Source organism: Homo sapiens, chromosome 2 (assembly GCF_000001405.40).
Source record: "Homo sapiens chromosome 2, GRCh38.p14 Primary Assembly".
In the NCBI taxonomy this organism is placed as follows: domain Eukaryota; kingdom Metazoa; phylum Chordata; class Mammalia; order Primates; family Hominidae; genus Homo; species Homo sapiens.
The window spans coordinates 60,279,616-60,303,401 of NC_000002.12; the positions used below are offsets into that span (position 1 = coordinate 60,279,616).

Consider the following 23,786-nt stretch of genomic DNA (forward strand, 5'->3'; position numbering starts at 1 on the left):
CATCATAATATCTTGCTAAATCTGAAAAATTCTGCATTTGAAACACATAAGGCCCAAAGGGTTTTAGATAATGGTTTTGGGGACTATATTAATGTGCATTAGAGTCATTACTCTCCATGTTTTATGTGTAGTTATCAATCAGTGAATCCTCAAATTGAGCACATGTTATACAGAAGGCGACTTCCCAGGCAATAGAGGCATACAATAGGTTAAAATACTTGATCCTTGACTACAGGTTTGTATAGCCATAGATCTGAGGTAGAACCAACATGCTATGGTCCCAGTGAGGGGATTTGATGGGAAAGTCATCTTCACAAACTTGATGTTCAGGAAGAATTTTGAAGAGGAGGTTTACCTACCCTGAGTGGTAAAGATGAAACAGAGAAAAAGTGATGAAGCTCCAGGAGGGCAGTCCAGGTGTGGGTGGGTAGGGCAGAAATTCACAAGAAATTCACAATTGCAGCCTAGGCAGCTATACTGGACTACTAGATTTAGGTACAATCACAAGAGAATTTGGCCACCCTTTGTATAATTTTCTTACTTAGATACTACTCCTTCTGCTGCTACCAATGTCCCTACCACAAGTGCAGCCAAAATGTCATCTGTACCCTCAACAACACTGGATGAGAAATGCTACTTCTGTTCCAAGAACTGTTTATGGAAAGTGCAATGAATGCTGGGACCATAGAAAATGTGGCTGGAGATGTAGCTGAGGTCAGATCATTAAGGGCCTATTTAGCAGGTGGTAGAGCCTAGAGGCTGAGAGTATGCCCTCAACATTTAACAGCTAAGCAACCCTGGGGAAGTTGCTTAATGCTTGTGTGTCTTGATTGCTTCAACTGCACCCTGGGGCTGCTGCCGCTGATGCTGATGAAGATGATACTACCAAATGCATTCAAGTATTGTGAGGATTCCGTGAGAATATGCATGTAAAGCCCTTAGTAAATATTCAACAAATGTTAGTTGTCGTTAATTATGTTACCATTCAAAAGAGCAAGAGAAAGCAACTGAAGGGTTGTGACATGGTCAGACTGGCATTACAGGACCTCAGGTGGACATTCAGAGTCTGCATTAAAAGGGAGGAGGCTGGAGGTAAGAAGACCAGTTAGGAGGCTTTGTGGTGATCCGGGCAAGAGATGAGACAAGGCTGAACTCACAGCCACGGCAACAGGATCTAAAGGTAATCTCTGAGTCTAATACAATAAATATCCATAGTCCATTCTGGTATAAATAAGTAATTACATTAAAAAAAAAGGTGGGGGAGAAGGGGCATCTATTTCTTACAGTAGGATTCCAATTAATAAATGTGAAAGAAATGATAGAAATAGAATATCATCATTAAGCAAATACACTATAGCTATTGTGACAGACGAGAAACATTGATAGATGCTAAACTTAGTGGGCAAAAGTATGATGGGAAACAGGATACTTACATAGTCTCAAATTATCTACCCACAAGATACTTACTAATTACAAAGAGAAAATAGTAACTCTATAGTGGACTAACCTGGCAGTCACTATCTTAACCAAGTGATCAAAGATCACATCACCAGTAGTAACACGTATTGACATTATGCATGTCCAGATAGGATATACTGAGAACACTGCCTCTGTGAGATTCCTGCCAAAAATGCAGAAAGAACATTAATCTAATTATGAGGATACATTAGAAAAACCCAAATCAGGAGACATTCTACAAAAGGACCAGTACTCTTTAAAAATGTCAAAGGCATGAAAGTCAGACTGAAAAACTCTCAAAGATTGAAACTAAGGAGAAACAACAATTCCACGCAACTTGAGATCCTGGTTTCAATCCTGAACCAGAAAGGAGGCATTCGTGAGGCAGTTGGTGAAATTCAAATGAAATCTATACATGAGTCAATAATACTGAATCAATGTTAATTTCCTAGTTTCTATGATTGTACTATGGTTACATAAGATATTATAAGATATTCACATTAGGGGAAGCTGGTGAAAGGTATTCGAGAACCTTGTACAGATTTTATAGTATTTTGTAAGTCTAAAATAATTTCAAAATAGAAAGTTAAAAACAAGCATAACTCCTTCATCTGACCTATCTTCCTGGGCATCACTTAGGGTGCTGAGTGTGGCAGCATGTGAAATTAGGTGGTCTCAAGTTGACACCTCCACATAAACTACTTATAAACCTCTCCCAGGCACATGGTCGCCATAATCACACTTGGTATTATTTATACACTTGTGCTTCTCCACCATTAGAGTGAGGACTCTTTTAAGAACAGGAGCCATATCTTACTCACCCTGGTACACCTGCCAACGAATGCTTGTTGCATGCGTTATATATCGTCAGCGCTCAATATGTTTGGAAATTTTTCCAAAGAAAATTTCCCCCAAGGCTATGTTCTTATGGTTAAGTCTGGTCTTACTTGAGAATAGTGAATAATGGAATCTACATTCACATGGCATGTTCATTTCAGGGAGCCAGACCCTCCTCATAAAATAATCATAGATAGCCAAGTTCTTAGGGGTTAAAGAGAGGAACTCAGAGAAAAAAAACTCTTCCAGAGACTATGGGGTTGGATCTCTCATCAAGTTCCACAGGGCAAACGCTAGGAAATAAAAATTCCATGTCCGTACTTGAACATCCCTCTCAAGGAGCCAATGTAAAACAGGGCTCATGCCCACGTCGCCAGCTGGGCACAGCATTCACAGCTTTCACCTGCTCTTTGGTTACCAAGATAGTGAGGCTTCCTGGTGACATAATGTTTATCATCTCTAAGGCCTTGGGACAACCTGAGGGACTTACTGCTTTTCGGAATTTTTAACCAGAGAGAAAGTGGTTTTGGTTCCAGAAAACAGGCAGAGAGGATGACAGGTCAGAGGTGAGGGGTTCTGTGGCTGCTGGGGTATAGGACTGGCCCATGGGTAACATAGTCAGTAGAAGGCAAGGAGGGAGATAGAAGTTGCAACACCGTTCTCTCCCACCCCCATCCTCTCACAGTTCACACCTGGACAGGCCTTAGATGGGTCTCTGTTGTTCTGGGGCTGAGTCTGCCTGCACCACCGGCCTGCTTAAGACAGACAGGGAGTGACACAGGAAGCAGCAGCAAGCATCTGAGTTCCCCTGGACTAAGAGGGAAGGCAGGCAGAGGAGAACTCTGGCCTTCCTGTGTTGGCCTGCCAGCAAGCCAGCCACTCAAAGTTCACTCCAAATCACCTCCCTTTGAAGAAAAGGCAGTAGGAACACTTCAACTGACCAGAAAGAAGACCCTTCTTTCTCTACTCTGTTTGATCATGATGAATAATGAAAATGTGGTTATCTATCAAAGCTGGGCAGAGGACTTCTGGAAACAATGACTGCACTTGACTCAATGCAGCCAAAGTCACCATGCAGACAAGTCCAATGTGCTGAGGCCTTGGCAGAGTTCAATGAGCCCTAGACCCTGCCCTTTAGGAGCTGCTAATCTGTCCAGCACAAACAATGTTGACTCCAGCCAGCCTCAGAATGAAACAGAGCCAAGCATGTCAGTTGTCTCTCCAACCAACTAATAATAAACACTCAGAATCCCTCCTTTATCCAAGCAATGAGGCAGGTCCTTCTGTGACCTGGGCTTGAGTGTGACTTCTGAAGCTAGGCTGCCTGGGTGCCAACTCCAAACCTACTACTCACTGGTGCAACCTTGGGTGAGTAACTTATTCTTGCTAGGCTTGTTTCCTCACCTGGAAAATGGTGATATTGCTACCCACCTTGAAGGGTTAATCCATGTAAAGGACTTATTTCAGCGAACGGTCCACAGCCAGCGCTTGGGAATTTGAGCAGTTACCCCGCATCCCCTCTCATCGAGAGGTCTGGCTGGGAGCCTCGGCTCAGTGGGTGAGATCCAGCTATTGGTCTTTATCTTCACATGCACCTTGACCCCTGACTTAAAGGGCTCAGAGAGGCACTTCTACTGCCACCCCTGAATTTGGTATAAACTTGGAAAGTGCTGATAAATCTATTTTTATTTATTTCTAATTTATACCCTGCCAGCTTCCAGAAAGGATGTAAAGTAGCACAGATAAATCTATGTAACCTCCAGTGACAGGAACCAGGGCACGCTCTTCTTCCACATCTGTCATGAAGGTCAGCCCACCCCCACCTCTTCCGAGTAGATCAGGGGATGTCCAGAGAGCAGTCACAGGAGGGAGGAGGTGTGGGCAGCTGCTGATTGAGGCAGCGCCCAGCCCAGCACCAAAGAGTCACCATCTCCCCACCCCTCCCCACTCCAGCCCGTTCCCTCCTGCCCTGCCAGCCTGCTGCTCCCATGTTTCCTGCAGCCACATCATGTCCATGCTGTCCCTGAAGACTGTAGGGACAAGGGAAATCAAGGGGCAAGCTGTCCTTCTATAACCACCCAAAAAATAAAATAAAGCCTGCAGATGAAATCAAATCCACAGTAGCTTTAAAGGGAGGGTGTGCGTTTGCTCATTTAATCATGAAAGAGCAGCCTAACAGTATCAAAAGAAGCGGGTGGGTTTCTTGGTGGCTGGTCAGTCACACTGTCCCCTACCCCATACCCCTGTACCTAGCTGCCGCTGGTGACACCCGCTCCTAGCAGCTCCACTCCCCAGAGGTGGCTCTAGCTGAGCTGCCCTTCTGTCTTTCCTCTGCCTACTCAAAGCTCCCCACCCTGCAAGGGCCTCCCTGTCCCAAAGCCCACCCTGACCTCTCCACTCACTGGCCTCTGCCTCTCTGAATGTCAGTGTCACCAACCATCTCAGCCTTCCCATAGCACTTCATCTCCTACTGACCTTCCATTTCTCACCAGCCCCACTCCCCTTCCCCATAGATGCTGATCAATAGCTTGGTAGGCTCCCAGAGAACAGGCTGATGTGGCAGCGTGCAGGGCTCACCAGAGGCAGGACATGCACTTGGGCTCATTCAAAAAACTCAGAGACTCTGCTGCCATCCAATCTTTTTGTAATGTGATCAAAGTACCCAAAAGCTAAGTGGGTAGTTCTCAAGATTTAAGGGACATAAGAATCAAACAGACGTAGAAAGTGGGAAAAGTAAGGACATGATCTTGGCTAAAATAGATTTTCAGGCACTATCCCAGAAAGTCTGTTTTAGTGGGTCCAGGTCGGGGTCCAGGAATCTGTACTTTTTTTAATTTTTTCTTTTTTTTTGAGACGGAGTTTTGCTCTTGTTGGCCAGGCTAGAGTACAATGGTGCGATCTCAGCTCACTGCAACCCCTGCCTCCCAGGTTCAAGCCATTCTTCTGCCTCAACCTCCTGAGTAGCTGGGACTACAGATGTGCATCACCATGCCTGGGTAATTTTGTATTTTTAGTAGAGAGGGGGTTTCACCATGTTGGCCAGGCTGGTCTCAAACTTCTGACCTCAGGTGATCTGCCCACTTTGGACTCCTAAAGTGCTGGGATTACAGGCATGAGCCACCGCACCCGGCCAGGAATCTGTATTTTTAATAACCTCCCCCAGCCATTCTGAGGCATGGGACCTCATCTCAGGCTCTAAGAAACAGACCTGGCCCCAGCACCTTGCGTGGGGGCAGAAAGAGAGCTGGTTTGGGCATACAGTGCCACCAGAGCAAGGCCCTGGCTCTGACACCAGGTAGGTGATCTCAGGTAGGTAAATGACCTGGCTGGGCTTCTGACTCCTCATTGGTGAAATGAGCCTCTGGTAGGAAAGGATTCCTCAAATTCTAACGGTAAAAAACAATGGCTAACATTTATTGAGCATCCATTGCGTGCCAGATGCTGTTTTAAGTATTTTCCACATATTTTTCCATTTACTCCTCAAAACAGCCAAATGAGAGGTACAAAGATTTTTATTTTACAGATGAGGAAACTGAAGAGCACAGTGCTGAGTAACTCATCCAGGCCACATGGCTGGTGATGAGGGATCCGAGATTTCAATCCAGGCAGTTGAAGTCCAGGGATAGAGCTCACCACCATGCTCTGCTGCCAGTAAGGACTTCCGGTCCAACTTCACAGAGGGAATAAGCAGGACACAGGTCATCTGGGTGGCTGCCATACTGGTCAGCCCATTCCAGGGCTCCAGCCACATCTTGGAGCTGTCTCTGGGTCACCCTACAGGCCAGTTGAAAGGGAAGTCTCACCACATGAGGTCAAATTAGCCTCGGACCCATGCGTGGGAGGGGTGCCCATTACTTATGCAAAACTGAGGAGGATTTCAAAAGCTGGAAGCTGAGTTTGCAGGCACAAGGAGTGCCCAGGCCTCCCCCACTTCAGAAGCTTTTTATGGGAGAGGACAGGACTTTAGAGGAGCAAGGGGCGGGCTGGGAACATTCCCATGAGACCAGATTGCCAAGCAGGGCTTGTCAGGGCAACAGGCCACTGCAGGCCTTTGCTGTCTTTCCCAGAACAGACAGAAAGCACAGATCACACCTCAGGCATGAAGGGGATGACCAAAAGTTCCCTGGGAGATCCCCAGGGCACTTGCCACCCCCATGAGAGCAGGAAGTCCAGGAAAGTGCCTCAGGGCCAAGGTCACCCTAGAGGGGTGGGGAGGGAGTGTGGTCCTCCCCCGAGCCATGCAAGCTGAGCCTGGGCAGATCCTGACAGGGAAGAGTGCAAGGGGCCCAGTGACACTCCCACTGTGGGCCCTGCTACCCAAGCCCCTGGCTGGGGTGCTGAAGTGTCTGTGGTATCTTCACCTCTGCTGGCGCTAGCTGTGAGGCCTACATGTCTCCCTCCTCCCCCACCACTAGGTGCCTTCCCAATTCCGCTTGTCAGAGTCCAGCTTCAACGGCCTCCATCAAGCTCATCCAGATAGCCCTTCCCATCCGCCTCACTCCAGGTCACAGACCCCTTTCCCACTTGGCTCCTCACACTCTGCCTTTGGAACCCTTCTTACATGACAGGCTTGTAGTGGGCCCAGCTTTTTGCTTAGGAGCTGGACTCCTAGGTCTGCCTGCCTGAGTCAAAAATCCTCATTCTGCCCTTCACAAGCTGTGAGACCTTGGGCAAGTCACTGAATGACCCTTAGATCCAATTTCCTCAGCCTTAGCTTAGGAATAGTAATTTCATCAGCCTCATCGGGTGGCTGTGAGAATTGCATGAATATACATAGTGGTCTTGGCATTAGTAAATGCTAAGGATTACTATTTTCCTGTTTGAATGTACATGTATTCTCCCTTTTGCTGGTATTTCCATGACAGCAGGTGTCTTCATATCTCCCAACTGCAATCATATACTCTTTTTTTTTACTTTTGAGATAGAGTTTCACTCTTTGTTGCCGAGGCTGGAGTACAGTGGCACAATCTCGGCTCACTGCAACCTCTGCCTCCCGGGTTCAAGCGATTCTCCTGTCTCAGCTTCCCAAGTAGCTGGGATTACAGGCACCCACCACCGCAGCTGGCTAATTTTTGTATTTTAGTAGAAACAGGGTTTCACCATGTTGGCCAGGCTGGTCTTAAACTCCTGACCTCAGTTGATCCGCCTATCTCGGCCTCCCAAAGCAACATATACTTTCTATGGAAGGGCTCCTGTGGGCTGAGCTAAGTCTGTGGGTCCCAGAGCTGCCCTTTAGGAGTCTCCAGGCTGAAACTTCTTGCCAGTCACCTGGTACCCTACATAAAAAGCCATTTTTGTTGGCATAAGCCTCCCTTGAGCCTTGGGCAGTTTCTGCACTCCCCTTAATCCCAGGCTTGGCAGATGCCCTGCAAAGTGAGAGGGAAATGTCCTATATTTCCTGCAGGGTGCTTCAAGGGCAGCAAAAGAAAACTAGGTGTGGGAGTGAGTGCCCACGTGCATGCACAGGTGGGGTGCCCCATGGAAGAGCACTGTGTTCTGTAGCTCAGTGCTTGTGTCTGTCACATAACTAGCAATGTGATCCTGGCCACATTTCTAACTCTCAAATTCTTGATTTCCTCATCTACCAATGAAAATTAGAATTTCTTCATACTGCTACTATGAAAATTGCTTCCAGCAAACATTTATGAACTAATCTTGCCAAACTAGGTACCAACCCTCTCTTACACAATGAATCAAAGGGAAAGGGGATTTGACCTAGAGAACCCAGACCACAGAAGAAAAATAAGCCCTATGCCTTTTATCAATGCTGTCAACAGTGAGCATGGAGTTTCCCGTGAGAACACAAACTCTAGTAATAGTGAAAAGTGCTATGAATTTAACAGTATCCACAAATTCAGTGTTTCTTCACATATCTTTACCCCCCAAGCACCATATCGTTACGTGAATGGAAGCAAAGTCAAGGCAAGTGTCAAGGATGTGTTGAAAACCAGATATTCAAAATGGTGGGCAAAACTATGCAAATGACAAGGGCAATGCTACCTTTTCAGTCCAGAAGGCAAACTTACCCTGAGAAAACATTCTTCCCCCTACACACACTCCCAACCACTTTAACCCAAGTGAAAAGCAAAGATAATTTGAAAGGAATTATTTAGAAACGTGCAAGAATCACATGAATAAAATGAAAGGGGTCTTTGTTTTATAATCCATTTAACAGCCAACAGCAGGTCTTGGCTCTTCTTCTGTAAAATGGGTACTCTAAGAGTGCCTACCTCATACAGTGGTTGAGAGAATTAATTGAGATAATCTTGTACTATGGTTTGAATCTTTGTGTCCTCTCCAAAATTCATGCTGCAACTTAATCCCCAATGCAACAATATTAAATGGTGGGGACTTTTGAAGGTGATTAGGCCATGAGACCAAGCCTCATGGATGGAATTAGTGTCTTTTTCTTTTTTTTTCTTTATTTTTTAGAAGTGAGGTCTTGTTGTGTGGCCAAGGCTGGAGTGCAGTGGCTGCTCACAGGCACAGTCATCACACACTACAGCCTTGACCTCCTGAGCTCAAGCAATTCTCCTGCTTCAGTCTCCCAGGTAGCTGGGACTACAGACAACACCACAAAGTTCCGCTTCTAAGGGATTTGTGTTTTGTAAAAGGGCTTGATGGGGCAAATTTTGCCCTTCCATCTCTTCTGCCACGTGAAGACACAGCAAGAGACACCATTTTGGAAGCAGAGAGTAGCCTTCACCAGATGTAATCTGCTAGCACCTTTATCTTGGACTTCCCAGCCTCCAGAACTGTGAGAAGTAAATTTCTATTATCTATAAATTACCCAGTCTCAGGCATTTTGTTATGGCAGAAGGAATGGACTAAGACATCTGGATAAAGAATTTAGCATGTTACATAACAAGCTTTTGACACATGTTTGCTCCCATTGCTGTTGTTTTTGTTGTTTCTGTTCTTGAATTGTTAAAATCAAAGAATCATGAATTAGGGAAATAGAAAGGCTAATCAAATGGTTCACTCTTTGGGTTGGAAATATTTTTCAAATATCTAAACCTCTTCTTCCCACAACATCTTAATCAAATGCAACTTGCATGGTTTTTGTGCATCCCATGGAAAACCCTGCCCTGGTCTCCTGACATCCGTGAGCTCCCTGAAGGGGGACAAAAGCAGAAAGCTCAAGTCAGGTGAAAAGATTGCCATTGAGGATTGGAAGAGGAGTGGCCGAAAAAAAAATGGAATTGGTCCAGAAGACACACACAAAAATAAATAAATAAATAAAATAAAGAGGGAGTGTTGCAGAGCTCTTTAAAAGGCTCACATGCCCTGCGAGAAACCTTCAAAGGCGAGAAGAATGAGCTAACCCTTCAGACCCTTTGAAATACTTATATAAATGGTGGAATCCCTGGGTCCACTCCTTCTTCAAATCCTGCCGAGTTAAGGACCCCCCACCCCCACCACCCCCCCTCCCAACTACATGCTTTAGGCAGTGTGTACCTGGAAAGCCAAGTGCCGAGGCATTGCAGAGAATTTCTCTCACTATTTCATAAGGAATGCTTAGAATATTCAGGCTGAGAAGTATTTCTTAATTTCCTGTGCAATCTGAAAGCATTATCCAAGGGTTATTTTTGTTTTGTTTTATTCAGAAGTGGGGTTGCTGGAGCATTCCTCTTGGACATGTTCAGATTTGAATTAATTAGAATTCCTGTACAGTTTTCTTCGGTTATAATTATAGCTTAATTTGATTGCTTAATGGCTCTGGTTTTCGTAATGTTTAGCACCTGTTGTAAATTGCACAAGCTAAATCACCTTCTACCTTCCACTGTGTTTACACCTAACTTTTGCCTTTTCCCTTTCAGCTGGTGGGCTTGCGACAACAGCCACGCGCTTTGCTCATTCCTGCCCTTTCCACCAAAGAACTCTCTCTTTCAAGGCTATTTAAGCACAGAAGAAGTGACTTTTACTTAAATGCCTCCTTAAGACTGTTAGATTTTTTTTTAAAGGAGAAAAAAATTGAGAAAAAAAAAGAGTATTTCAGATGCTATAAACTCTCAGGACTGACCTCTGGTATTATGTAGACTTCCACTTAAGGGTCACCTTTCTGATGCGCTGGGTGTACAGAGTATTTTTTCCCTCCTTTCCTTTCTAGGATTATTAGATAGCAGTGGAAGCCCTGCATCATTAATTGATTTCTCCCATGCATTGTGCTATGATACAATTTTTCAAGGCTGTGCATAATTGTGTTCTCTGTGCCAGCGTTCTATGTTCTGTCCTTGTCATATTGTCATTGAAGGCTGTTTCCACCCTCTGTAATTGGAGATGTTCTACTTTTGGACAAAGGTGTGGGGGCAGCTCAGGGGAACAGCGCTGACATTTACTTCATCAATTTATTTTTATTGTTCCTACATTTATTGCAGCTATAACAGCCCTTTAATAGTTATATCTCCTCCCTGTAGGGTATTCTGGTATTTGAAATTTTTTTAACTCATTTGTTCTCATGGATAACAGTAAAGTGCATTTCAGGATAACCTTTAGGTTTCAATCTCCTCTCTTCTTTTGGCTCTGAGGCCGTCTTCGCTTTAAACTTTTACTGCATTTGCCAGTCTAAAGGCCAGAGCGCCAAGTTCATTCTAGCACTGGAGTAACCACAAATTAGTGGTCCTGAAAATTTCAGGGAGGTTAGTCCTAAACCAAGAGTGCAGCTATTACAGTAATTCAAAACTGGTCGTCCTTTTAATGGGGAGGGGGAACTAAAGGAAGGTGGGTGGGAGGGAAGGGGAGAAAGTGAGGGGCAATGAGAGAGAATCCTAGTAAATACTGAGTCTCATGTTACAATCCTGGTCAAATAAGGATTGTAATTAAATCTTTATGACCAATGAAGCATCAGACTGGACCAATTCTGAGTCTCTGCCCTTCAAGGCCAAAGACACAGGATACAATTAAGAGGCAACTCCACTTGGATTTACTATTCTTCTTGTCTTTAGATACGTGACCCTCCCCCAACCTCCAAGCCCAGTGTCACCTCCCTTAAAAAGGTTACCTTAGTGCAGCCTTGGAAATAAGTCCTTACCTGAAAGCCTAGTGTGTTTGTTTACTTCTTTATTTTCTACCCAACCTGGAGAAAAAATAAATACTGGCTTTCTCCACTTTTCTACCACTATATCTGTGGTAGAGAAAACATTGGTGTGGGCAAAAAAAATATGTCTAGGCTTATTTTTAAGGCCATGATACTAAGTCATTGTCTAATACTTTGTGCTCCAACTGCCAGCTTTCAACCACTAATTTCCTCTGAATAGTATCTAGGCACATTTCAAAAGGAATTTCATTCTTGTTTTTACCCGCCTTCCCCCAGTTTCTCCTATAGAATCGTTGTCACACCTTCTTTTCCTAGCAGTGTCATCAGAATCTACCAGAAATTAATGCCTGCACCTCATCAGAGAGGACCAAACACTTTGTCCACTATCCAACACCAAATAATCAGCCAAGAGAAATGGCTCTGAATTCTGTACTGGTTCTAGCACAAGGTCCCTTTCCCTTCTCACTTGTTCCGTGCACATCATCTGTGGAATAGCATTGCTTATGCACCCCCACCGCCACCATTAATAAAAAATAAGGTTTTTTTCAAACAAAATAATCTCCATTATAGAAAGATGGGTCTAGCAAATCACTGCTAAAAGCAGGCAGAGATTGAGTGGTCAAGGCGAGTGTTCCTGGTCTTGGTCCCTATGACTAGGTTCTCTCACAATACTAGTGAAGGGCAACCCCAGGCCCAGGACATTCTGTAGAGGCTTCTAGAGCCAGAAAAGCCTCTACTGCAGCGGCTTCTACAGGCAGGTTCTGCAGAAGGGTGAACCTCGACTCTACTTTCTCATTTGCCTCACCCCCTATATCTTTTTCATTTTCTCCCACCCTGTCTCACAACTTCCACTGCAAAAGGACACTTTTCAGAAGACTGTCTTCTACTACAATCCTGGTATATCATTGAAAACTTCAGAAAGGGAAAATAAAGTGAAGAAATAAATCAAGTGCACAAAATCAAGAGGGAAAAACATCACAGACTATCTTCATGCTAGAATCCTAGCTTGGTCAAGGAAGCTATACAAATGAACAGTTCCAGGGGTCTGCTTCCCAACAGGGCTATACAAAAAAACACCCCAAAATCATGCTGCCAAGTTTCTGATGAGGGTAGGATGTTTGGAGGCTCTGTTGGGATTTTTTTAAATTATTATTATTCCGGTTAGACTTTATCCCTGGATAGTTATAGAAAGATACCACCAGCAGGGCATTAATCCAGATGAAAAGATTTTCATGTTTCCACATTATAGATCTGGCTCAAAATTCCAGGTCTTGCTTAGTCAGGTCCCTGACTCGTTTTCTCATCTGTGAAGACTTACAAAGGAAAGTCATGATGGGCAAACACATTGCAGCCTGATCCCTGACGGACTTGGAGAATATGCCCACTGCCCTGGCAGAGCCAGAGGCAGCTGACCTTCTGACTTATGTGCCAATGGCAAGAGTCCTTCTGCACCAGTCATCATCTGGATCATGGGTGTAATTTAGAGGCACTAACCAGCTGTAAGTGTCACTATGCATAGGCAACTTATTTTCAAAGACTGAGATTAGAGTTGCTGGGATCTAAATGACTAAAACTGCTGAAAGTTAATTTTGGTCAATTTTGCTTTTAAATATGCATGGCGTCTCCATTAATCAAGTCAAGAAGCAGGCCACAATTAACGTGAGCTAAGCTTGACAGCCATGGCATTCTAACAAGAAAGGAGACCTTCCAGAAGAAGAAGAGCGCCTTTGGACTCAGAGGTGAGCCCTGAATGTCCAGTGGGCACCAGGTAGCCTTCTGGGCAGCAGACCAAAGATGGAGCAGAAGAGCACAGGAAACACGAGGAGGGAGTGTGTACCACTCCTTCAGATTTGAAAGTGTGGTTGCCAGCAGCAGGACAGGGCAGGGCAGGCAGAGAGGAAGCCACCTGAACTAGGAATTAAAGGAGAAAGAGAGAGACCCACAAGTGGAAGACCTGATTCCATTGTTCTCTAGCCAGCTAGTAGGCATACTCTCACTACTTATAGTAGGCAAAGCTCATGAATTGATATTTCAAAGAAAAAGACACATTGGTGGACAACAAATATACAAGAGATTATCTAGTAGTTTTTAGAAAGCAGGTTAAAACATATATCAATTCATGAGTTTTGCCTACTTTCTTATTGTTATATTTGTCTTTTTGATTTACTGATTGCTCTTTACATATTAAGAAAATATGTTACAAAAATTTTCCCCAGTTAGTCTTTTTTTTTTCACTTTGTCTATGGTATTTTTGCTACATAGACCCAGATAGCTATATTTTATTTCCCAGTTTGATAATATTTTGCCATACGAAAGTTTCAGATTTTATGTTATCAAACTAATCAGTTTTTCTTTTATAGCTCCCATAGTTTCATGTCTGCTCTACTTGAATATCATTAAAATTTTCATTTACTTTTTTGTGATTATAGTCTTTTTCAATTTAGGGATCCAGATTTACTTATTTTTCAAAATGTGTATTTTTCCAAATAGCTGTCTCAACACTGCTGACTAATATATCAATTCCCCATTGATTTTCAATGCCATCTTTACAATTTAATAAAGTCTCATACAAATCTGGCTGTATTTATTGGCTTTCAATAAATAATTTTTATTTATTGAAAATAAATTTTTAATAAATAATAATTTTTAATAATAATTTTATATATATAAAATAATACATTTTATCAATTCATGAGCTTTGCCTACTATATTTTGTTCCACTGCTGTTTCTGTCTTCTCTCTGAACTAGTACCATACTGTTTTATTATGATACCTTTACAATGTAGTTTTGGTCAGGTAGAGTGCTGTTCTTTAAAAAATGGGGTTTATGGCTGGGCATGGTGGGTCATGCCTGTAATCCCAGCACTTTGGGAGGCTGAGGCAGGTAGATCACGAGGTCAAGAGATAGACACCATTCTGGCCAACATGGTGAAACCTCGTCTGTACTAAAAATACAAAACTTAGCTGGGTATGATGGCATGTGCCTATAGTCTCAGCTACTCGGGAGGTTGAGGCAGGAGAATCACTTGAACCCAGGAGGCAGAGGTTGCAGTGAGCCGAGATCACACCACTGCACTCCAGCCTGGTGACAGAGCGAGATTCCTTCTCAAAAAAAAAAAATGGAGTTTATCAAAAGAACAAAACTTTAAGAACATTATCCTAGACTAGAGATTTTTCTTTTTATGAAGGATATTCTTACAAAGAGTATATGTTGTTTTCTAAAAACAGAGTGAAATCTGTAAACCAAAAAATATTTAACAAGAATTTATGATATTAATAGCTGGGAGAATGGACAGAAAAAGATAAGGCAGAGAAGACAGCCTAAAGGAATTTTTTCAGTTAGAAGGTGCAAGATCACAAATATCAAAGCAATTAAAAGAAAAGGCAACCTTGTCTGTTGGAGTGATAAAAGAAGGTTTCTCAGGGGTAGTGACCGTGACGGACAGACATAAACACCACTCACAGAGCCACTGCATTGTCATCAGTGGGAAGGGTCCCTTTCCCCTGGAGATATTTCTTGCTAATAATAAAAACTGACATTTATTGAGTGCTTACTGTTTAACAGGCACTGCTCTAAGTGTGTTACGTGCATCAACTCAAACCCATGACAATCCTACAAAATAAGTACATACTCTCATTAGGCCTATTTTATAGGTGAACAAACTGAGGCACATGCCCTCTGTTGCCAAGCTACTCAGTGGCTGAGCAGAATTTGAACATAGTCTGGCTTCAGAAGGTTCATTCTTAATCGTTACGCTTTACTGTCTCCAAAACCAGAGAGAGGACTTGATCCAATGAACCGCCTCTTCCTGAAGCACTCCTCCAGATGACAAAACTATCAACAGAGAAAGGCCACCCGGCCAGCACAGCCTGGATACCCCTGTGTTTGGGCTGCAGAAGCACAAGCTTAATGAAGACCCCAAACTTCCTGAAGGGACAGAGGCACCTGGAACAATGCTGGCCCCCTGGCCAGGGTCTGCAGTGGATTCCCATCAGTGCTTGCAGCTTCTCTCCTGCAGGGGAGCCCAACAGTTCATGCTCCTGCACACTCTCTGGGCCTCCGGTGCAGTCTGGTCACCTGGGTGACCCCTGCCCACCTGGGACCAGGGTGGCCTCTGTCTGACCTTATCCCAGGCTGACAGCTGGCGTCGCACTCACCCAGACAGCCGGAGCTCCAGGCTGGATGGAGTATTGTCTCCCGCCCTGCCTTACAAATAGGAGAGAGAGAGAGCAGGCCACTCCTGTTCAGCCGTGGCCTCAGACGGGGGTAGGTCCCTCGAATTGAGGAGATAGGATGAAACAGAATGCCAGCTGCAAGTATTTCTGACTTTAAGAGAAAAGCAGGGCCCATGGCCTCCTGAAGTCCGGTGCCAGAAATTGTTGAAAACAAAAGGCCCTCTGGTAGGCAGGGTCGGGCAAGAGCACAAAGCCCCATTGTTAGGCTACACCAGCGGTTTTTCCAAGTTTTCTTTTTAAGCCACGGAACCGTTTGTAACCCCTCAGCCATGCCCTCGACGTCTGGAAGGGCTTTCAGGTGGAGCCCATTACCAGGAAGAAAACAATGGTGCTCTGAGCCCATTGCAGGCAGACACGGCATTGAGACAACGGTGCAAAATGTCAATTTTCCCATCGAGTCGCCTTTCATCCCTCACAGAGGCTGTCTCGAATGGGTGTCTGGGACTTCCTTCCCTGACATCCCTCTCCCTCCTCTCCCTGCCCGCCTGAACATGAAAACTGGAGAGGTCCGGATGACCCTTGCTCCTGGATCTGTTCTGGAAGGGCCCTAACCCTGCCCATCGCAGTCTCTCGGATTCTTCACAGCCAAGTAAACCTCCCTCTTCCTAATGCTGACAGCCTCTCAATAGCAGCGCCACCATGAGGTACGGTGCTCATAAATCTCTGCCTCTTATCCATCATTTGCTCCCTACTAGAAGGAAGGAAGAAAACGAAAGACGGAGAAAGGGGGATAGAAATCCTGACCCTGACCCATCGTCTTTTCAAAGAATGTTGGATGCAGAAGGCAGGTACCATAATTCTACTCTGGTCCAACCAGGAGCAGGGCTTCAGCCCTCTTAGCGTTGTGCTGGCCTGGTGGCCTCAGTATCATCAACTCACAGAATCTAATCTGGAATCTATGAGGCTGGATAAGGCTGGAGTAGACTCATGTTGGGAATTCACCTAAACTGGCAGCCCCAAAGTCTTCCCATTGGACTAGAAAGCAAGATAAAGCAAAGATTCTTTGTATTCGGGGAGTCCCAAATCCTTTAAGAATAGGATAAAAGTGAATACATTCATACATGCATTTTGCGTCCAGTTGCAAGAGGTGCATGAATCCTCCACAAATTCAAGGATCTCCAGTTAAGAAGCTCAGGCCCAGCTTTAGAGCTACCCTGTGCCATTCAGGAGTTTATGCCAGAGACAGCTAGATTCTCACCACACCTATTTTCTCTTCTGGGTTCACAGCTAAACCGGTCTCATGGAAAGTCCCCAGACACTCCCTTCCTCTCTGATGCCAAAGACTGAATGGATGATGGCACAGAGCTGGACTCCTGACAAGACTGGCAGACCCCCCAAAAGCTGACCTGGAGGCTCTGGGCCCCAACTGACCATCTGGAGTGGAGGCTGATTTCCCTTCAATGTGTCTGAGGCCTCGCTCACGTGTGTGGCAGATCCCCAAGAAAGCCACTCATGTGGCGGCTGCAGGTTAGATTTAATCCATTCCTAACAGGAGCTGGAATCTATAGTCTACAAGCCTGCCCTCCACAGTGCAGCAACCAGTCAAATCTTCCAGTGATGGGGCTGACTAATTTCCGGAGTACTAAGCATGTTCACCCCCGTGCCAGGGTCTGGAGACAAGGAGAGGAGCTTTCACAGTTCCTCACAGACTCTGTTAGGAGCTCATACAAGCCAATGCTCCTTCTCCACTCAGGTTCCTCTAGGAGGTCAGGAAGAGAGCAGGTAGCTAAGCCTACCCTTGCCTCTCTCCACCACCAGCCGTCATGCTCAGGGTGACCTCAGTAGCATAACAATAGTTGACATTACTGAACACTCACTCTATCCTGGGCTTTGTGCTGAGCTACTTGCATCCAGAACCTCATTTGGGCTTCTCATCACAACTCAGAAGAAGGTACTAGTCCCACCTGCCTTTTAACTTTGACCCAGAGAGGTTAATTACCTGTCCTCAGATCACACAGTTAGAAAGAGCACTCAGTGCTAATACTTCTAACTTGTCACGACTTTCCCAACTTCTCAAATCTCCTTACAAAGACAGACAGTCCTAGGTAGAATCACATCTGAAGGCTTCGCTAGTCATCACTTTGTTACCACCTGAGAAAAAGAAGAGGCCTCAAGGCAGCTACCATGGGCACCAGCTCAAGAAAAGGGCTCCTGGTTGCAAAGGCGGGAGACCAGGAGGCAGAGCTTGCCTTCCTTTCCCTTGGCTGAGACCTGGCCTGGCCCTGATGCTCAGAAGCACCTCCCAGCCACCTTGGCCTCTGCTGCCCTTCCCAGCAAGGCTACGACTCCACATGACCGAAATGGCTACAGCAGATTGGGCAGAGGGCTTGAGTGCTCAGCCTGGCTTAAGGACAAGCCTAGGCGGAGAAGAGCTCTGACTGGGCAGTCCTCCCAGCAACCCCACCCCACCCAGCAGCCCACCCTAACTATGGGGCAGGAAGCCTGGCCTAAGCCCAGAAGTCAGACTCCAAGTCATGCTGCTTCTCCCTGCCTTCCTGTCCTGTGGTAAAGGCTAAGAATCTCCAGTCTGTAAAACTGGTGGTGGCAGTGTGCAGTGGAGAGAGTCCAGCAACCTGCTCCCTGATTAAGGTGTTTGTTGAGTCAGGCATCCAGTTCCCGGCTAATCACATGAAGGGCATTTCCGCATCAACGCCAGGCACGCGGATCCCCGCGGAGCTTTGCGGGAGGCGGGGTTTAGCGTGGGGGCGGGACCTTGCGAGGGAGGCGGGGCTTGCGGGGGGCGTGGGCCTCTGACGCGGGATCAGAACCTCCCATAGCTGAGCCCTGCCTGTTTCCTGGCTTTGCCCAGATGCTTTAGGAACTTTTCGTCTTTAAATCCATTTCGCACGTTATTGCACATTCCTTTGTGCAATTTTTAAAAATCTATAATTTATGAAAGCTGTCATTCGATAGGGTCTTTACTCTCCCTGGCTGGAACTTCTTCTAAAGTACTTCTCAGTAGGCAGCGAATCACTCCCCTTTGATTACCATGTGATTAGTTTGTTCAACTGATGGCCTTTCTTCTCTAAGATACTCATTGTGTCTTCTGCCTCCTATGCAGTTCTTAAGAATTTAAATGAGCCGTTTTATTTCTTCCTCCAAGCCGGAATCTGCACACCCGGCCCCACCCTTCGGCCTCCCCTTTTAGTGAACCTAAAAAACAGCGGCACCGTTTCCGAGGGCCTCCTCTAACGGGGAATTTTATGTTGTTTCTGACATTGTTTGTTGTGCTTCCCACAAGACCGAATGCTGCCAAAGATTGAGAGACAGTGACATAAATGTCAGGGAAACGCCTCGGCAGTGTCAAGCCTAATTAGACGCTTGCACTTGGGGGACAACTACAGATACCATAAAACTCAGAGCTCGCCCTCTCTCTGCTCATGCCTGGAGTCTGGCAGATGGGGCAGGGCAAAAGAGAAGGCCCGGGAACAGGATGAAAGGGGATGGAGAACAGTTTCACTGGGATGCGGAATTTGATTTTGATGCATCCTCTTGTTCCTTTTAGGTCACTCTTGTCCTGGAAGCGCCCACAGGCAAAGCCATTTTATGCATCAGGCGCTGTAGGCACAGTGCCTAGGGGATGTGGGGTTGTCAAGGGCCAAAACAAGTTTGAGATGAAAAAAAAAAGGGCTCTAAATTACAAAACAGAAACTGTGAAATCAAAATAATAATTGAAGTGATAATTAACAAAGCAAATTATAAAAATTATTTTACAGCAGAAATATCTGCATGCACACCCACATATAGGGCGAAATGTAAATGCGTTTTAAAAATTAATATAATATGAGATTAGGATTTCAAAAGTAAGAGTGCGTTTGGCCCTAAAATGGCTCTATCTACTGATTCAAAACACATTTCCATGTGCCTGGGTGAGTCAATTACACATAAATTGCATCACTAATATTCAGGTTCTTCAGCACCAGTGTACCATGCCAGGTACACCGGGGGAACAAGGGAAATTACCCTCACAGCTATGAGAATCTATTTGAGAAGATATAACTAAGTTATGAAGAACAATTCACTTATTCATTTATTCAGTAAATATTTGAGCAGCTGTTACGTGCAACATTCCTGATACTGAGAATAAAACAATAAACAAAAGATATAAAAATCTCTGCCCTCTTAGAGCTTACAAGTCCGGTGAACAATGGTATAATAAAGTACTACGTTCAACATAAGTACCAATGATTTACAGAATGCTGAGTGTGATGGCGCAGCCCACATGATCAAGGACAACTCGATGCTGGCGGGAGTGTGAGTAGGTCTGGTCACTCGGTCACCCACTCTGCAGCTTGTGCTCCTCCACCCATGTGTACAGAGAAGCAAAAGGTCTGTTTTTGCCCACAGGAAGATAATATATACATGGATGAAATAATGTGTGTGAAAAGGCACGTTGTAAACTCTCAAGTGCAATGTGAATTATATGTCGTCTTATGTATGTGACACACTCTGTTTATGCACCTGAGTGGAGATACTAGAGTCATTGTGGAGAAATACACGTTCAATCATTTTCTACTCTCAATTTTTGCACAGATATTTTTCTGCTAAGTTGAGCCAGCTTGTACATAAATATCCCAAATCCTCTTTGGTCATACTTTGGAATCCCACTGAGGTACTGAGAACAGTAGCCACCTCAAAACAGCATCAGAGAAAGACAAAACCACCTGAGACTTTATCCAAAGGGACTCTCATTGCTAAAAGGGGAGAGTTTGGGATGGGAGAAGAGTTTACCTATCAAGGGCATCCAAAGTCTGGATTCCAAGGTGCGATCCAAAGCCTGGATTCCCTAAAACCATGTGGTACAGCTCAGTATATTTTGGCAAAACAGAGTCCATTTCCTTTAGTCATATAGCAAGTTTACACTGTTTCAAAGAGTGTGAGCATCATGTTAATTTATGGTTCAAAATGCATCCATGATGTAACTAAAATAATTATTATTAATCCCATTTCGCGATGTGGAAAGTGAGACAAAGCAGGCTTAAGAGAGATGCCCAAAGTCATGCTGACTGGCCATCATAAAGGAGTTCCATTTTCTTGGCATACTGCAGGATTCCTTTCACCATGTCTCTCGCTAAGGCCCTAGTGCCAAGAGCTGCCAGAGACCTCCTCCTTAGGAGATCAGCAAGCCTAGGGTTGACCTCCTCTGAGATGACCAGAATTGTTTGATGAGTAAACACACACCATTTATTTGCCCATCAGACTTTTCCTGTAACATGCACTTGTCTAATTGCCCAAGAAATTCTTCCCTAGACCCTCCCTTCTGTCCCCCAAAATACACACCTAAAATACAAACACACCCACGCACATAACAATGTGGATCCATTCAAAATCCATTTCTCAAGTGCTTACCTTCTAAGGCTGCCAGACTTAGTAAATAAAAATATAAGATACCTAGTTAAATTTGAATTTCGTGTAAACAACAAAAAATTGTTTGGCATAAGTATATCCCAGGCAATATTTGGGAAATACTTACACTGAAATAAGACTTCATTATTTATTGCATTGCACTAAACTGTTTACCCAAATGGAATCAGACTCATAATCTAAAAATCAAATAGAATTTCTTGGAAATCAAATGGAAAGAATTTCTTGCATAATTAGACAAGTGCATGTTACAGGAAAAGTTTGATTAGCAAATTAATGGTGGGCATTTACTCATAAAACAATTCTGGTCATCTCAGAAGAGGTCAACCTTAGGTTGGTGATCTTCTGAAAAGGAGGTCTCTGGTAGCTTTTGGCACTTCCAGGCCTAAACATATCTTGGTCCTACTTGCAGTCAGCTGCGAAGGTGAGGAGTCTGAACCTATTTGTTTAATTGTTAGAGAATCTAAGAGTGATGGAAAAGTTAAAAATACTTTTGTCCCTGACTCCCATGAGATTACACCTAAAGTAATCAAGACTAGAGGAAACTTAACCTATGTATACATACCGAACCCAGAACCCTCACTGGAAACAGTACAACTGTCATACCCAAGAGGCAGTTTACACCCAGTATGAATCCCAGCGACTGTGAATACAGTCATTTCTCTGCATCCTTCCTCAGCCATACCAAAACCCCCTGCTGCTCTGCCACAGTAAACTCTCTCATAACAAGCCTGGTACACTTGTTGGCAAATGATAGGTTCAATTCTTATTTGTGAGAAGAAAATGCAATGCATGTTGACAGCCATATTTTCAACAGTTTAGCTCAAGTTAGATAAAACTGCAGACTCTGAGAAAGAAAGATCTGGGGAAAGGCATCACTGATTCCTTTGGGGGACGGAATCTGGAACCAAAAAGAAAGAGGTCCTGGAACCCAAAAAGGAACAAGCAAACAAAACATTGGCAAGGCAAATGCAAGCTTTCTCCTCGTAATACTGAGTGAATAAATACTCATAATACCTCTCAACAGTATAGAGAAAAATAGCTAGTCCAACGGAGGGGAGTGATCCTCCAAGAACTGAAGAGCTCATGGGCTCATTTGTATTTTCAGCTTCAAGTTTGAGGGAACGCTCAGGAAAGATGTTTCCGAAACTTCAGCTCAACCTCCACCCAATTAGAAAGATGGCTCTCTTGGTGTGTTTTTAATCCTATAGTATTTGTTTTAGAATGGGGTGGTCCTTAGAGCAAGGATAGTGACAGAGAAACTTTATTTCTTTATTATTTGTATTACAAATAATATTACAACGTATTTACAACACAGCTTCTACCAACTTTCACTGAAGAGACAGTTTTTGAGGGTGTGTGGACAACTGTGAAGAAAGACAGGAAACTCCCAGGGAACTGGTTGCAGGAGTACAGGACGGGAGAGGGAAGCTTCTAGTGCTTATGCCATCCTCACCTCAGCCCACCCTGTTGCTGACCACTGGCAAGGTTAGCTGAACCTGGCCAGGGAGGTAACAAACAGGAAACCAGAGTGAACTTGGGGAAGCGGGGAGGTGTGATCAGGAAACAGGGATATCACCATACTGTGGAAACCCACACTGGCCTGCATGCTTGGGCAACCCTCTCTCCATGGGTCACACAGACACAGACACAGGACCTGCCCTCAGGGATTAGAGTCCAGAGGGGAAGATAGATGTCTTCTGTCTTGCAAAGGCAACTGTGCCATGCAGTAAGCAGCGTGGCTTGGTCAGTTGGCAAGAAGCACATGCGCAGAGTCTCAGCAAAGCAGTTGTCAACAACAGAAGAGCAAGACAGAAAGATTCTTGGAACGATTTTACGCTGGATATTTCTTCAAAACATGTAAAATAGCAAACATTCTGAATTTTGTTGAGCTTCCTTACAGTATATGGTTGAGGACATAGACCCTGGAACAGAATGCCTATATTTGAAGCTAAGTTCTGTCACTTACTAGCTCGGTGATCTGGGACAAGTTACTTTACCATTCTGGGCCTCAGTTTTCTCATCCGCAAAATGGGGATAGCAGGTTATGCAATTATTGTGAGAATTAAATGAGTTTTAACATCTGTAAAGTGAGTGCCAGAGCCTGATCCATAACAAGCAGTGTTAGTGATAATTACAATGACACATATAGTTTACTATTTTCTTTTATTTTAGATTACATACAGAGAAGAGAATATCTTATTTTTTTAATTTTATTTTATTTCCAGCAACACCTCATTCTGTGCCATAGGATGGGTATGCCCCGAAGACATTGTAATTTATGATTTATTGTCTCTAAAAATCTTAACATGGCCCGATGATAAACACTGAGGCAGAGGTATGCCCAAGGCAATGTAGTAAAGATGCCCCTAGAAGGCACTCATCCTTCAGGCCTCAGGAGGGTGCTCAAGGAGAGTTTCCTGTAGGAACACTCTAAGCTGAGTCCTGAAAGGGCTGCCCAGGTGAGAGGAAGAGGAGAAGTTTGTGTAGAAGCCAGAGGCAAGAATGGGAGGAACACAAACCTGCTAAGAATGTAGACAGCAGAGCTGGAGAGTAGGGCCACAGAGACACAGCTGCCCAAACCTAGGTGAGAGGCTGTGGCTTAAAACCAAATAGCAGAATGTGGAGGGAGAAGCACATCCAGCTTTTGGGGAGGGTCCCCCTAATCAAGGGCATTGACAGGACTTGGTAATTGAGTAGTTATGAAGGTGAGGTGGAATTTTACTTCTTCTGGTCTGTTGGCTTAGACAACTGTAAAGATGTTGACACCATTTGCTGAAGCAGGAAACACAGGAAGAGGAGATGAGATGGGGGCAGGAAGAGTGAGGGAGGTGGGAGAACACCAGGAAGGAGT

At 44.6% G+C, this 23,786-nt stretch overlaps 1 annotated feature.

The window, feature by feature from the left end:
• Positions 17,833 to 18,363: an enhancer, noted in NCBI's record as "H3K4me1 hESC enhancer chr2:60524583-60525113 (GRCh37/hg19 assembly coordinates)". NCBI's record gives its function as "activates a minimal SCP1, AML or CMV promoter by ChIP-STARR-seq in naive H9 embryonic stem cells {active_cell/tissue: H9 hESC(naive)}" and the evidence as "EXISTENCE:reporter gene assay evidence [ECO:0000049][PMID:30033119]".